Source organism: Homo sapiens, chromosome 1 (assembly GCF_000001405.40).
Source record: "Homo sapiens chromosome 1, GRCh38.p14 Primary Assembly".
In the NCBI taxonomy this organism is placed as follows: domain Eukaryota; kingdom Metazoa; phylum Chordata; class Mammalia; order Primates; family Hominidae; genus Homo; species Homo sapiens.
Genome location: NC_000001.11, coordinates 14,567,198 through 14,584,389, shown reverse-complemented (window position 1 = coordinate 14,584,389; position 17,192 = coordinate 14,567,198). Strand labels below are relative to the sequence as shown.

General features: G+C 44.1%; 1 protein-coding gene across 6 annotated transcripts in view, besides 1 other annotated feature; it reads right to left on the bottom strand.

The window, feature by feature from the left end:
• Nucleotides 1–17,192, bottom strand: part of KAZN (kazrin, periplakin interacting protein) — a 1,225,220-nt gene that overhangs the window by 533,654 nt on the left and 674,374 nt on the right. The window lies entirely within an intron of this gene.
• Nucleotides 11,813–12,377: an enhancer, noted in NCBI's record as "H3K27ac-H3K4me1 hESC enhancer chr1:14898509-14899073 (GRCh37/hg19 assembly coordinates)". NCBI's record gives its function as "activates a minimal SCP1, AML or CMV promoter by ChIP-STARR-seq in naive H9 embryonic stem cells {active_cell/tissue: H9 hESC(naive)}" and the evidence as "EXISTENCE:reporter gene assay evidence [ECO:0000049][PMID:30033119]".

The following is a 17,192-nucleotide window of genomic DNA, read 5'->3' as shown; positions in this document are numbered from 1 at the left end:
TGCCACTGGCCTTTCTCCACCCAGAGAAGGCTTGAACAACACGGCCAAAGGCAACTCCGGGCTTACCTCATTCTACCTTAGCTGCCTCAAAGGAAAAAGACAGCTTCTCTCTCCGGTTGTTGGACAACTGGGCCTATCCCTCGGTCAGTCACCAAGACTAGGGCACATGCTCCTTTGATTGACCAGGCCTTGTGTATACGCCCAGCCCCACGACCCCAGGGAACTGGGTTGGTGGTCCCACCAGAGGTGCATGGAGTGGGGAGGAGCACTTGTCCAGGGCTGGGGGAGTGATTTAGCAGAAGGAGAAGGAATCCTGGGCAGACCAGGCAACGCATGTCCACACGCAACACATCCCTGCCCCAACAACAAGATAATGAGCCCTGACCTGCAGCCTGGGCGGGGACTTGGAGATGATGATCTAGGCCACTCATTCAGACTATTAATCAGACACACTGGGCTTCCATCCAGCCTTGACTTCCTAGATGGCAGCTTTAGGTGAGCTGCACAACTTCCCAGAGTTCCAGTTTTCTCTGTTATAAAGGTAGGGGAGGGGGGAATACAAATGTCTAGCTTGTTTCAAGATGGTGATGAGGAATAAACGCGATCATCACACCAAGCCCTAGCCTGCAGAGTGGATACTGTAGCTTTCCTCTAGCCATCCTCTTCAGGGTCACCTGCCAAGACCAGGAATATCAGCCACTAAAGTCCCATAGCTGCCCCCTCACCAGCTATCACCCTCTGCTGCAAGAGCAGGGGCCTGCCTCACCCAAGCTTATGCTCCCACCCAGGAACCAGCCTTGGGCCAGTGACTTGGATAGAAAATCCCAGCTCCTTTGCCTCCATTTGGGACCCCTCTGAAAGGCCAGCTCTGGAGCTCCCTCAAGGCATCATGACAAAGCACACTACCTGCCAGCTTCTCTGTCCACCTAATCCTGACTTCCTCACTCCTACACGTGCATCTCCTAGAGCATTCCCATGTCTGCATGCAGGAAACTGGATTGCAGGTGTTCTCGTGGCTGGCACACAAGGAGCATTCATGTGTGCTAGTTGTAATCATCGTGATCACTCTTGTACTTATTCACTCATTTGTCCACCACCCTCTGCTAAGCATACACCTACAAGAGGCAGGATAGTGTACTAGCTTAGACTGCAGACTTGCCTCTGGAACTGGAATGTTTGGGGCCAAATCCCTGGTTGACCTCCACCAGGTCTCTGATGTTGGGTAAGGAACTTGCCTTCTCTGTGCCTCAGTTTTCTCATCTGCGGAATGACAATAATAGTGTAGTTTCTGTCGCATAGGTTTGTTGTGAAGATTAAGTGAGTTGATAAGGGTAAAGGATTGACAAGCTCACCAGGCATGGAACAAATGCTTGTAAATGTTCACCTCTCTGCTTTCTCCTGGGCAGTATATTATGTGATGGGGCTGCAGGGATGGAGGAGGCCCAGTCTCTGCCCTAACGGTGCTCATGGTCTAGTGGCTGAGACAGACAAATCAACATTCATGCCAGGAAGAGCTTGATTCTGTGCCCCTTTAAGAGCGTGTTTTTGAGTGAAGATATGTCATTCATTGATTCTTTTAACTTCACATAATAAAGATCCATTAAAAATGAAAATTATGTTTTATTTCTCTCATCAAGAAAATTCTTAAGATTAAAACAACCTTGGAGACCAGTTCACAATACAAGAGTCTCAAATCTCTTTTCCAAGTCTAGGTTAGTGGTGCTTCCCACCCCTTCCTGCTGAGCAGAATTGCTGAAGGGGATGAGCCCCACCTGAAGGTTCCATTCCTCCAGTGCCCATCCACATGTCCCAGATTTGGGAACAAGTGTTTGTAAAGGACAGTCTCATCCTGTTGTCTGAGAACCACCTTTGCAACATGGATCAACTGACCCAAAGTGCCATCAGGGTTTGTGTGAGATGGAATGAAAAATTCCCAGGTTTTCAAGCTGAAGAGTCGGTCTCTAAAAGTCTCCCAGTTCAGCCCTCTCATTGTGTAGAGGAAGAGACAAGCTAAAATTGGGAAGTGACCTGCCCAAAACTGATTTTGCTCCACACCAAGAAGCTCTTCTTGATGCCCACTTTAAGATGGCAAATCCTTAGCGTTTTCTGGAGGAGGTGGTGAGAACACAGGACTTGGAGTCAGGCAGACCTGGCTGGGGTTCCTGTCATTTGATCTAGAAAGTCAACAGATTCCATGGAATTCTGGGAAAGTTATTGACCTCTCTAAACTTTAGGTTTTTTTTGCTTGTAAAATAGGGATGTTGTGATCTGTACTAACAGATAGGTACTGAACACCTAATACATGTCAGATGCTATTCTAGGGGTTGTAAATACAGCAGTGAAAAAAAAATAGGCAAAGTCCCTGCCCTTTTGGAGCTTACATTCTAGTCTGGGTGGTACGAGGTAGACATGCCTACATACAAATGTAAGTATATAATGTGTGGGAAGGGGAAAGAGAGGGGAACAGGAACTAAAGGACGAAGGGGGAGAAGGAGAACTGGGGATGACATTTGGCTTCTATTTTATATGAGATGGTTGGGGAACCTGACTTATCCAGTAAGGTGACATTGAGTAGAGACCTGAATCACACACAGGAACAAGCCAGGGAGATTTCTAGGGAGGGCAAAGGCTCAGAGATATGAGAGGCCCTGACTTGTCTGAGAAACAGTGGGGCAGGCATGGAGTGGAATGAAGGGAGGTGTGGGCAGCAGATGAGGCCAGAGAGAAGTAGGACCCGATCAGGTCCCCTTGGGGACTGTGAGGTCTTGTAGGGACTTTGGCTCTTATTCTGAGTGAGATGGGGGACACTGACCGGTGTTGAGTAGAGGAACGACACGAGATGATTTATGCTTTGGCACGCTGTGTGGCAAAGGCTGTCCAGAGACAAAAGTGAAGGCAGGAAACCATGTAGGCAGCTGTTGCCATATCTAGCAGGGTACCACGGTGGTTTAAAAGGTGGTGATGGAGTCGAGAGGTAGAGTATGGAAAGGTGAATGGATTCTAGATCAGTATTGAAGGTGGAGCCACAGGTTTTGCTGACAGGCTAAATGCAACACATGTGAGAGAAAGAGGAGAAAAGGATGACCTGAATGCTTGTATTTAAGCAAGTGGAAGAATGAAACATTCATTTCCCGAATGCGGAAGGCGGTGGGAGGAGCAGGTTTGGGGATAGAGTGTATGCTGATTTTGAGATGCGTGTTAGACATCCAAATGGCAATATCAGGTGGACAGTTGGATACACAAGCTTGGAGTTCAGGGGAGGGGTTTGAGCTGGAAATATGAATTTGGAAGGTGTCAGCATGTAGATGTTATCCAGAGGCCCAAGAGTGGATGAAATCTAACAAATCCATGTTGAAAGAGAAGGGAAAGGCCCAGGGACTGAGTCTCCCAATATTTAGAGGTCAAGGTCATAAGGAGACACAAGCAAAAAAGACCGAGAAGGAGCAGTGAGAGAAGTGGTGTCCCGAAAGCCGTGGAGAGAAAGTGTTTGAAGGAGGCCCTGTTAAAACTTTCTAATAGGCTGAGTAAGCGATGACATTGATGATTGATGACATTGGTTGATGACATTGATGACATCGAATGATCGACCAAGAATCTGGAATGCAGAGGTCAAAGGTGACTGCAAGAAGGGGCTTCACAGGGTGGTTGGGAGGAGTAAGTCAGATAGCAGACATAAATAAAGCAGCATAAAACCTGCTTAAAACCCAGAGCAGAGTAGGTGTCCATTAAATGTTAGTCCCTTTTCTCCTAATCCTCACCCACCACACAACTTGTCCAACTCACAGCTATAGGCCTCTTATCCTGAGCCCCTCCATATCCACTAACGTCAGCCACACATTCGTCATTACACATGGCTGCGCTATTAATATACTTTATTTATTTATTTATTTATTTATTTATTTATTTATTTATTTGAGATAGAGTTTCGCTCTTGTTGACCAGGCTGGAGTGCAATGGCACGATCTCGGCTCACCGCAACTTCCTCTTCCTGGGTTCAAGCAATTCTCCTGCCTCAGCCTTCCGAGTAGCTGGGATTACAGGCACGCGACACCACGCTCGGCTAATTTTGTATTTTTAGTAGAGATGGGGTTTCCCCGTGTTGGTCAGGCTGGTCTCGAACTCCCAACCTCAGGTGATCCACTTGCCTTGGCCTCCCAAAGTGCTGCGATTACAGGTGTGAGCCACCTTGCCTGGCCTCAATATACTTTAAAGATACATTCGCCAGCAATGGTGAAACCTAAGCTGACTGCAACACAAATTAATTACCCTGGAAGTCCCAGTGACGGTCAGTGAATTTGCAAATATCCTAAATAATATGCCACAAAAAAGATGTCGGATTCCTGTAGCTGTGAGTGACAATGGGTACTAATTATCCCTTACTCAGAAATTAAATGAGCAGATTTCCCCAACCCCCCTCCCACTTGGCAAAAGGTCTATATGATGTCCTAGAAAATAATAAAGTGAATGAACCCGGTATGAAAGGCAGCGGGCAGCCTCACACTGGGTTCTCTGCCGCTTATTAATACCAGCACATTGCATTAAATTAGAGAAGAGCCTTTTCACAGGAGTGCTAAGCATTCTGCCTGGCTGCCATGTGAGTCCCCCTGGATGCTGCTTCTTACCCAGCAATACAGCAGCCACTCAGTGTGTTCCCGTTCGTTCTGAATCAGATGATTAAGGCATGCTAAAAAAATTTTTTTTTCAGCAGTGGTCAAATAGTATGCTTACTGTAGCATTTCTTTTTTTTTTTTTTTAATTTTTTTTTGAGACGGAGTCTCGCTGTGTTGCCCAGGCTGCAGTGCAGTGGTGCGATCTCGGCTCACCGCAAGCTCCACCTCCCAGGTTCACGCCATTCTCCTGCCTCAGCCTCCTGAGTAGCTGGGACTACAGGCGCCCGCCACCACGCCCAGCTGCTTTTTTGTATTTTTAGTAGAAATGGGGTTTCACCGTGTTAGCCAGGGTGGTCTCAATCTCCTGACTTCATGATCCACCCACCTTGGCCTCCCAAAGTGCTGGGATTACAGGCGTGAGCCACCACGCCCAGACTACTCAGGAGATATGGAAAAACCACAATTTGGGGGCATTAATGGGTGTCAGAAATTGTACTAACTACCTTGCATTTCTCCTCTCATTTTATCTCATAGAAATCTAATTATTACAACAACTCCATGAGGTAGGTATTATAAACACTGTTATAAGCTGAGATTTCAAGAAATAAGTTCCAAGGGTCACTTAGGCAAATCCCTAAGTGGCAGAGGCAGGATTTGAACTCCAGGAGGACTGACGGTAAAGCTGGAGTGCTACGTTTCTCTTCTGTGCTGACTTCTAAGAAAAAACTGACATCTCAAACAGAGCATTTAGTGGGTTCTGCTACAATATTCAACTTACATTTTTATTAGGCAGGTGCTGGGGATAGGGAAAAGAAAAGGACAAAAAGTTTTGGTCCTCAGCTTCAAGAAGTATATATTATATTCTTATAAACTGGTAATGATAATACTCATCTGCCTATCTCCAAAGGTTATTGTAAAGTTCAAGTAAATTAATGGCTATAAAACCATCCTCTTTCCTAAATAGAATAAGGGCTGTAACCAGAAGCTGATTTAAAAAAATTATAAGGCATATTAATATCAGTATATTTTCAAGTGCTCAGTCAAGTTCTAAGTGTGACCAAATTTACTACTCCATCCTACACTTTCACTTGTATATGAATGGACCCATTTCCTCCCAAAGAAACATGCATTTTTAAATTTTGGCTGACATAAATCTACCCTGCTCCCAAGACTTGATTCATTTAAATTCTTCCCTTTTCAATTAAATAATCACCCAGAATCTAAAAGGACATATTTCCATTAGTAGACTCTCAACTAGATGACCTTTGCGATCACAAGGGTTTATGTAAATTTTTCTGATTGCTTTTTATCTTCTTGTGTATCACTTTCCCTAAAAATTCTGTCAGTTAGTGTATTTAAATTCTTTTCTCCTCTCCTCATTTCACCACTATTTACAATAATGAGTCACAGCTGAAAGGGACTGAAATATCACGGGCTCCTTTAACATGCCAGCAAGAAGGGTGCTTCACAGTTGGTAAAGGCTAGTGTAAGGCAGGGGAGAGATTTTCCTCTACCGTATGAAATGGAACTTAAAACTTCCATTAATTACTTTCCAGGCCCTATCCAACTTGTTTTTCTTGGGTAAGGCCTGGAAAGTAATTAATGGAAATTTTGGATATGACCCGATATTCTATACGAATAATAGCAAACTTGGATTATGTGCTCATTATGCGTCCAATCCGAAGGAGCTCATTGAATATCCTGACAAGTAGGGGGTAGATGCACTTATTATCCTCAGTGTACGGGTGAGAAGACTGCAGTTTGGGAAGGTTAAACACTTTCCCAAGGACACAGAGCTAGTAGGTCATAGAGGGGAAGTTTGAACACAGGGTTTGGACTTTTGACAGTTAGACCGTGGGTCCCAGCTCTGCCAGCCATGGAACTTCAGGCAAATCATGTTGCTTTCTAAACTTCCATTTTCTCATCTGTGAAATGGGCATGATAATATCTTGGCCTTGCCTCTCCTAGGGTTGTCAGGAAATTCAAAGTGTTGCTGGATGTGAAAAAGCTTTGTCAATGGTCAGGAATGCAATGATCACTATCACGATTGGGAAGGGAATGCAATGGAAGTCAATCAATGGAGCCTAAGATCACTCAGTGAGTGGGCTCACATTTAAGACTATAACCAGCTTTGTTCAAAGAACCAGTGGCCTGTGATGACCATGTGCTGACCACTAGCAGCTGAAGGGCTGGTTCCAGAAGGGCTCCCATCTCCCCAGCAGCCTGATCTTGCTGCTGAAGCACAATATTACCCTTGGAAGCCAGCCCCGACAGCCCTCCAAAGCTACTTCTCACCTCCCCTCTGTGCCAAAGAGATTAGTTTTGCCACCCTCTTTGATTAGTGGCACATTTCCAAGCTGAGGGTGTCTGTGGAAGCAATCTTTATGCTCAGATTTATTAAAGCCACTATTGGCTTAATGAATTACCGCAATCCAATGAGCCCGTAGATAGCTTGTATTTAACTTTTATGTGGCTGCCCCAGAAACCAGCTTGAAAAGCAGAAATCAATGATTGTGACAAAATCTCGATACAATTTATTTTGAATGTTCAGTTTGGGATCTGATGTATGCCATTGTCAGATGTATTTTATGCTCTCAGAAGAATTTTATTCTTACTGATTAAAGGGGGTTAGCAATATCAGTAGGATGCAGTTTGACAAACCTTAAAAGAAATGTTGCAAAAGTGTTCTCATCCATTACACGCTGGTTTCTAACCAGATTCCTCTCACATTTTAATCAGTAGCACCAGTAGCTGCGTCTTCAAACTACCAAAGGGAAGCCCTATTTACCAGTTCTTAAATTAATTAGTCAAAATGCATTTAATTAATTATGCCCACTGTGAATATCTGATTCACCAGTAATTGGGTAGGATATAGGCAGGAACCAGGTGGTATGGGAGGAGTAGACAAATTGACTAGGACTTTTCCCATTGGACACCTTGGTTTCAATAAGTATTATTTGCTCTTGGATTTTTTTCCTTTTTTTTTGGTAACGTACCAGCTACTATTTAGAAATAACCTGTTCATAAGCAACACCTGCAGATTAACATAAAGTTCCTATTTAGAGAGGTGTCTAGACAGAGCCTAAAATAGGAACTTTAAATCTTTAGCGTTCAATGGCAGCAGGCCATAAGACTTTCACAGAAACCAAGACCAGATGGCTTTTCAATTTTTAGCACTAATCAATTTATTACATAGAAGCCCCCAAAATGGGAATAAAGTTGGTTAGAGAAGGAGCATGACTTCATATCCTTTTCAGCATGTTCCTTTCATTTGTCCATGCATCCATCAGTGCATCCATCCATCCATCCATCCATTAATATATCCATCCATCCATCCATTGTTCCATTCATCCATCTACCCATCTATTTATCTGTCCATCCATCCATCCATCCACCCAGCCATCCATTGTTCCATCATCCATCTACCCATCTATTTATCTGTCCGTCCATCCATCCATCCATCCATCCATCCATCCATCCATCCATCCTTCCATCCTTCTAGTTTACTGAGTGTTTACTTTGTGTCAGACACTAACTTCTTGCCACTGATAACCTCTTTTAGTCCTTACTATAATCTGTGAGGTCCAATACTAATATCGTCTTCATTTTACAAATGTGACAACTAAGGCTTGAGAGGTTAAGTGACTTATTCAAGTCACACAGATCACAGGAGAAGAACAGGGACTCACATTCATCTCCCAACTCCAAGTTATGGGCTCTTTTTCCTACCACTCCTAACCTGGATGCTTTGGGTAAGAATCGGAATTGTCAAAGTTTGACAAGCTTAATATCTGAAAAGAGAAATGACTCACAACCCCCACAAAATGTTCACCTAAGGGGATGCATTTTTATTCTTACGTGCCAGGCCCTATACTAAAGCCTAGAGATATAATGGTGGACAATAAAGGTATAGACACTGTCCCCCTCATCCCAGAAGCTTTCAGGCTAGCAGAAAGACAGGTCATAGACAATTATTTAGTGGCATTGTTCAGTGGCTCGAAAAATATCCATAGGATAGATGAACGACCAGGTTCCTCAATGATGTGTTACTAGTCCTTGAAGATTCTACCTCCTGACTCTTTTAATTGTGTCTCCTCCTCCATTTAATCATGACCACTGACCTAGTTCAAGTGCTGGTTACTTGTCATTTAGATGACTGCAACAGCCTCCTCACTGGTTCCCTGACTACCTCTTTGACATGGTTTGGCTGTGTCCTCACCCAAATCTCATCTTGAATGGTAGCTCCCTTAATTCCCACGTGTTTTGGGAGGGATCTGGTGGGAGATAATTGAATCATGGGGATGGTTTCCCCCATACTGTTCTCATGGTAGTGAATAAGTCTCATGAGATCTGATGGTTTTATAAAGGGAAACCCCTTTCTCTTGGCTCTCATTCTCTCTTGTCTGCCACCATGTAAGATGTGCCTTTTGCCTTCTGCCGTGATTGTGAGGCCTCCCCAGCCACGTGCAACTGTGAGTCCATTAAATCTTTTTTTCTTTATAAATTACCCAGTCTCAGGTATGTCTTTCTCAGCAGCATGAGAACAGACTAATCCACTACTACCCCACTCTTATCTCCTTCCCCCAACCAACTGAAATCCCACTCTGCTGCCAGAGTGACCTCCATGACCTATTATTTTAATCAGGTCTTTCTGCTGAACCCCTTCAATGGATCCTTAATATCTTTAGGATTAAGCCTAAATTCCTTCGTGTGAAATAAAGGGTCCATCTGAACCAGCCACTACCTACCAGAATCCTCAAATGTGCCATAAGCTCCCACACCTGCGCCTTTCTACCTGCTGCTTAAGCTCCTCACCTGGCTGTATCTTCCTCTTGTTCTTCCTCCTCAATGCCCTGGAGAGCAAGTTCCTTTCTGAAGTCTTGGCTGAACAGAGACAGCCACTGCTCTGTGCGCTCTGAGCATCCCTGACGCCCTTCCACCACCACACTTCCTCTATGATCCTGCCACTGTCAGTTTCCTCCACTGGGCTGAAAGCTCACAAGGGCAGGACGAGACCTCTCTTACCTTTGCATGCTCAGTGCCTAAGCATTCAGCTTGGCCAACAGCAGGTGCTCAACAAATGATGGTTGAATGAATGTAGGTGTATTAGTCTGCTGCTGATAAAGACATACCCGAGACTGGGTAATTTATAAAGAAAAAGAGGTTTAATGGTCTCACAGTTTCATGGGCTGGGGAGGCCTCACAATCACGGCAGAAGATGAAAGGCATGTCTTACATGGCGGCAGACAAGAGAGAATAAGAGCCAAGAGAAAGGGGTTTCCCCTTATAAAACCATCAGATCTTGTGAGACTTATTCACTACCACAGTCCAGTATGGGGGAAATCGCCTCCATGATTCTATTATCTTCCACTGGGTCCCTCCCACAACACGTGGGAATTATGGGAGCTACAATTCAAGATGAGATTTGCGTGGGGACATAGCCAAACCATATCAGTAGGCAGAGCTCCCTGCAGACAGAGATTACTTGTCTGGATTTGTAAGAAAGAGAACTTTACTTCAAGGCCATTGATGAAGTGCAGGGAGACGTCATGAAGTTCAACTTCCCCAAGCTATACATGAGGAAACCAAGGTGGGGGTGAGGGGAATGACAGTCACTTTCTTCCTTCCTGTTCAGCCTTCTATTTTATTTTTCCAAGCAAGAAAAATCCTTGTAGATTTTCTAGAGTCTCTTCAGAGTTTTTGAGATGCACACCTAAAATTATTCATTGGAAACGTTATGTCATGAAATCACTGCTGCTTGGAATAAGAGCCTATATTTTCAGGGGAAAATTGACTAGATCAATAGGAATGGTTGGACTGAGAAAATAGAATCTGAGCTCCTAGCCACCTCTGGCATTGGTAACATATTTATCTTAATTAAGACTTTTTTTTCTTTATTAAGATGTTTCTTGTTTCAGGTACTATTCATATGCCTGAATTTCTCCTTCTTCCTCCATCCTCAAAAGTGACAATCTTAGGGGTAAAGTACACTGGACAGCTTGAGTAAAAAAAAGCCTGAGAATGCTATGTGCCTGATTTATAACATATTTTAGCTTTGTTTCTTTTAAAGTTCTGACCTGGACTCATTTTCTTTGGGGTTTAGTGTATTTCTTTCTTTTTTAAAAAATTTTTTGAGACAGAGTCTTGCTGTATCATGCAGGCTGGAGTGCAGTGGCATGATCTCAGCTCACTGCAACCTCTGCCTCCTGGGTTTAAGTGATTCTTCTGCCTCAGCTTCTCTAGTAGCTGGGATTACAGGTGTGCACCACCATCCCCGGCTAATTTTTTGTATTTTTAGTAGAGACGGGGTTTCACCATGCTGGCCAGGCTGGTTCGAACTCCTGACCTTGTGATCTGCCCGCCTCGGCCTGCCAAAGTGCTGTGATTACAAGCATAAGCCACCGTGCCCGGGTTTTAGTGTATTCTAATGCTTCCATTTTGTAGAAAAGAGGTGTATGGGAAAGCCACAAGTAGATTCCTGAAAATGTAGTTGCTTTTAGCAAAGCTGCTTAATTTCTTTTTGATGAGTGCGCTATGCATTATTGGGAATTGTTTGGCTAAATTTCCCTAAATACACATGGGGCTTAAAGGAAGAGTGTGGGAAGCACTGTGTAGTTTAGGAGAAATGGGTTTACTGACCCCTAGGAGGGAGGAACTTAATGAATCAGAAGTGTATTGCTTCTCATGCATGAAATAGGACTTCAAACCTCTCCCCCATTCCTCAGAGCTGAGGAGCATGAGTGATCGGTTACATTTTTCTGGTCTGTTACATCGTTGCTCCTGAAGGGTTTCCACAGATAGAACATTAGCTTTCTGGGTAGCACGGAAAACTTTATTTCTTTATTGTCTTGACTCAGCAATGTCCAGAAGAGTGCTAGGTATATAGTAAGTACTTAATACTTACATAAATGTTTAATCCGTTAGGTGTTTAGGTTTAACAAACTAAATAATGAGTCCAAGAAGGGGGTCTTTTCTATGAGTCTAGACATCCTCCACATTTCTGATTCTTCCTGTTTCTCTTCCAGGGGAGTGGGGGGCCGCTCCGCGGGGCCAAGGAAGTCACAAATGAGGTACACATACCCCTTCTTAAAGGCCCCTACATGCTCTGCCTGGTCAAAGCTTCAGGAATAGGCTCAATGCGACAGAGCCGCTCGGCCAAGTGCACAAGAAGCCAGGCCAAGCGCACAAGAAGCCAGCCGGCAAACTGTACTGGAAGGCTTTATACTCTTGCTTCCCAGGCCTGAGCTCTGAGCCCAGAGTCATACAGATCAGAGATCTGGGGACAGGGAGGCATTGTAGAGGGTCTCCTCCAGGGAGACTGGATTACAAAGAAAACCTTTTGAAGCCTGGGGCTATTTTCACCCAGGAAGCCTCAAGGACTGGGGATTGCCCAGCTCATTCTCTTCTTCCCTTGGGTTCTGAACCCACGCCAGCACCTCCTGAGGCCCCTTAGTCTGATGCTGGCCACGTGAACACACAGCCTTTGTACAATGCCGTGCCAGCGGACTCTGCATCATTAATCTGCATCAAGAAATATGAAGCCCCCAAATATTCCCTTGGCCACCACTGAAATAACCTGTAGAGCCATGCTTAAATGTAAAGTGTTACCTACTGAGTTATTCTAAAGTTTCCCACCTACCCATTAAATGATGAAAATGACTTGGCCTGCCTCCTGAGGGCTGATCCCAGAGCGGCGGTGGGAACGATGCAAGAAGTACCTCCCCCGAAGCTGCAGGGGGCAGCCTTCCCATAGCACTGGCTGGATCCTGTTACCCTAGCGGGGCTTCCCCAGAGGTTTACATTAGATCAGAACCACATCCTTCCAGTTTCTCTGCACTAGAGAACCAGGTGGATGCTCCTGGTTCAATTCCAGATGGAGTAGTTACATTGCCCTCACTGTCAGCCCACTCTGGTGCTAACTCAATGCAAGCCCTGCCTCTCCTTCCCTGCCATCCTCATTACTTAGCTCCAGTTGCCAGCCCAGTTAGAGGGATGGATCATTTGATGAAGGGTAAATCTCTATGGAATCTTGGCGGAGGGGAGGTACCACCATTCACCCTGGCCCGGAGTCTCACAGTCCATACTGTTCCTGATTCAAGTAGCACAGATAAATGCAAACGTGATGGCTGCCTTTATAGGGGGATGGAGTGGGGGCGCTCCCTGCTCTCATGCTGGTTTCCTTAGCCTCTGACCAATTTGCCAGAACACTTGCAAGGTTCAAACAGCATAGGCGCATGGAGCCATTGATCCCACATGGGGAACTCAAAAAGCTTTGCCAAGAGAGATTAACCCCCTAAAAAGCCCATTTTACTGAATTAGGCCAAAGCAAAAACAGAAGTGTAAGAGTACTTAGCAATTTTTGCAGAGTGAATTCAGTGAGCAGACGACAGAGATTCAATATATGAAAAAGGTGAGCAATTATGGCCAATAATAACTCGTTTCTTTCTCTTTGGTGTAATTATTGCATGAAGTCAGCATTATACTAAGCCGTTTAACCCTAGACCTAATTTTATTCCTCAATAGTAGTTTGAAAAAAAAAAAGCAGAAGCATTCTGAAAAAATTGACTGTGCTCACAGTTCTTAGTTTTGAATTCTATGTACGTTTCTACAAGGTTATATTTGGTCTTGTTATAAAAAAACAAATAAAAAAATCCAAATATAGTGAAGGGTTTTTGTCATAGGGCATGGGCGGCAGAGGAGCCAAGGTTAGGGAGGTCATTCCGTTGAGGTCGGGGCATGGAAAAGTCGTTCCTATATAAAAAATTGTCAAGAAGTCAAAAATTTAAGTTTCTAGAGGACAGGGAGAAGCTGCAGATGAGAAATTCAGGTAGGTAGGTAAGGATTCAGAGGTCAGGAGTAAGTAAGAGATATGAAGGCCAGGACAGTCGTTTGAAACAGAGGTATAGTGAAGAAACTAGAACTTTCCCGTATTGCTGGTGCGAATATAAGATGCTACAGCCACTTTGCAAAAACAGTTTGGTAATTTCTCAAGATGTTAAGCATAAAATTACCATATGACTCAGCGATTCTATGAGTTATTTACCCAGAGAAATGAGAACATACGTCCACACAAACACTCGTCGATGAATATTCACTGCAGCATTATTCATAATAGTTCAAACATGGAAACATTCCAAACGTTCATCAACTGATGAATGGTTAAATAAAATGTGGTCTAGCAATACCACGGACTACTGTTTCACAATAAAACAAGTACTAGTGAATGCTACAACAGGAGTGAACCCCAAAAACATGCTTAGAGAAATGTCAGCTATAAAAGAACACCAGTTGTACAATTCCACTTATATGAAATATCCAGAATGAGTAGAACTAGTCACAGAAAGTCGATCAGTGGTGATCTGGGGCTAGGGATAGGAATTGGGAGGAGGAGGAGGGTAAAAAGGTACAAGGTTTGTTTTTGGGGAGATGGTAATGTTCTGAAATTAGTGAGTGATGACATACAATTCTGTAGATAAAATGAAATTGTACACTTGGGAACATTTTATGGCATATAAATTATACCCTAATAAAGCTGTTAAAAAGCAACACAAAAGCTGAGGAATGAAGGAACCTAGTTAACAAAATGGGGTTATGAACCTGACTGAGGAGAGAGGAGCGTGAGATGGGCATCCTGGATTTTTAAAAATTTTTTATTATTAATTTTTTTGAGACGGAGTCTCGCTCTGTCACCCAGGCTGGAGTGCCGTGGTGCAGTCTTGGCTCACTGCAACCTCTACCTCCTGGGTTCAAGCAATTCTCCTGCCGCGGCCTCCCAATGAGCTGGGATTACAGGCACCCACCACCGCACCCAGTTAACTTTTTTGTATTTTTAGTAGAAACGGGGTTTCACCATATTGGCCAGGACAGTCTCGATCTCCTAACCTTGTGATCCACCCACCTCGGCCTCCCAAAGTGCTGGGATTACAGGTGTGAGCCACCACGCCTGGTGGGGCATCCTGGATTTCATCAGAAACTGATTTAAGGATTCAGCTCCTAACTGGTCCCACCCCTCTGGCTGCAGTTGCCAGAGCTAAGGATGCCCTCCTGGCTGATGAGAGGTTTCCAGGTGTTAATGACTTGTGATTTTAAGCAGAAATTTTCCCAAACTGGTTGATGATAAATATTATCGAGTATTTCCATTAAAAAAGTAGAGGAGGTGGCTGGGCGCGGTGGCTCATGCCTGTAATCCTAGCACTTTGGGAGGCCGAGGCGGGCAGATCTTGAGGTCAGGAGATCGAGACCATCCTGGCTAACACGGTGAAACCCCGTCTCTACTAAAAATACAAAAAATTAGCCAGGCATGGTGACAGGCGCCTGTAATCCCAGCTACTCGGGAGGCTGAGGCAGGAGAATGGCGTGAACCTGGGAGGCGGAGATTGCAGTGAGCCGAGATCTCGCCACTGCACTCCAGCCTGGGTGACAGAGCGAGACTCCGTCTCAAAAAAAAAAAAAAAAAAAAGCAGAGGAAGTAGAGGAGGTAGAGGAGGTGGTTTTGTGGTTAAGTAAGTTTGGAAACTTGCATCAAGACATTTTTGTATGGCAGGACTTCTGAATCTGTTGTATAATATCCAACACATTTTCTAAATACATCCTTTCCCATATGGAACAACTATTATTGTTACACAAGAAATAGAAAAAAAAACCTCACACAACTATAAATGGGATAGCCTTAGGAAAAACATGGGAGCTGTCAGAAGTTCATCTGGGACATGAGCAAATACTTGTGAATTTTTTGTGGGATATTTTCAGCTCCTTCATTCAGCAAACGTTCATTGAGTGACTCTGCATCAACCGAATGGAGTGCTGGGGTTACTGTATTGTGTAACTGCCTTAATTTCCCCAGGGCTAATGGAAATGCAAGGCACATAGTAGGTCCACAATCAGTGTTTGTGGCTGAATGGATCGGAATCTGGTGGGGGAGACACATCGGATCCGTCGTAGTTTCTACTGCCAGGAAACAAGTATCCCAGACTTTGTGGCTTAAAACAACACCCATTCCTTATCTCATGGCTTCTGTGGGTCAGAAGCCTGGGTACAGCTCAGCTGGATTTTCTGCTCAGGGTATCAAGAGGCTGAGTTGGCTGTTGATATGGTTTGGCTCTGTGTCCCCACCCAAATCCCACCTTGAATTGTAAGAATCCCCATGTGTTGTGGGAGGGAACTGGTAGGAGGTAATTGAATCATGGGGGCAGATTTTTCCTGTGCTGTTCTCATGATAGTGAATAAGTCTCACGAGATCTGATGGTTTATAAACGGGAGTTCCCCTGCACATGTTCTCTCTTGCCTGTCACCATATAATACATGCCTTTCACCTTCCACCATGATTGTGAAGCCTCTCCGGCCATGTGGAATTGTGAGTCCACTGAACCTCTTTTTCTTTATAAATTACCCAGTCTTAGGTATGTCTTTATCAGCAGCATGAAAGCGGACTAATACAGCTATGTTCTCCTCTGAAGCGGGGGTCCTCTTCAAGCTGACGTGATTGTTGGCAGAATTTGAATCTTTGTCCTCAGCCCCTAAAGGTCACTTGTCACTCCCTTCAATGTGGCCCTCATGATAGGCAGTTCACATCGTAGCTTTGTGCTTCCTCAAGGCCAGGAGGAGGACCTCTTTTGCACGGATTCTCTTCCTTCAGGGAATGAGCGGATCCTCTTTGAAAGGGCTCACCTGATGAGGTCAGGCCCACCCACAGTAATCCCCCTTTTAAAACTCAAAGTCAACTGATTAGGAACTTTAACTACATCTGCAAAATCCCTACACTTTTGCTACAGAATGTAACCTAATCACATATGTGAAATCCTACCATATTCATAAGTCTTTGTCATACTGAAGCGAGGGGGTTTATATAGCTGTGTACACCAGGAGGTGAGAATCTTAGGGGTGGTTTTAGAATTCTGCCTACCACAGGATATTAAGTAAAATGGGGGAGTAAAAGAACTGTGAAAGATCAGAGGAGGGGTCTTTTAGCTGCTGAATGAGATGAGGTGACATCTAGGAAGTCTACCCAGAGGGAATGAGTTTTAATAGACTGAGATGGTTGACTCAAAACAAAAACAGAAACAAAATAACATTTCTAAGTATATGTTTTTGAATATGAGCATTTGATAATTACAGTACTAAACACCATTTTTAGGTTTAAAAGAGAGGTTTGTAAACATTAAAAATATTTAAGCAGTTCAAAGAGCAATGCAGACTTACTTCACTTTATTGCATTTTGCTTTATTGTACCTTGCAGGTATTACATATTTTTACAAGTTCAAGGTTTGTGGCAACCTTGTGCTGAGTAAGTCTATTGGTGCTATTTTTCCAACAGCATGTGCTCACTTTGTGTCTCTGTATCACATTGTGGTGATTTTTGCAATACTTCAAACTTTTTCATTATCATTATATCTATTATGATGATCAGTGATCTTTGATATTACTATTATAATTGTTTTGGGGTGCCATGAACCACAACAATATAAGATGGTGAACCAACTTGAGAAATTTTGTGTGTTCCGACAGCTCCACCAACTGGCCGTTTCCCCATTTCTTTCCCTCTCCTAGGGCCTCCCTATTCCCTGAGCCACAGCAATATTGAAA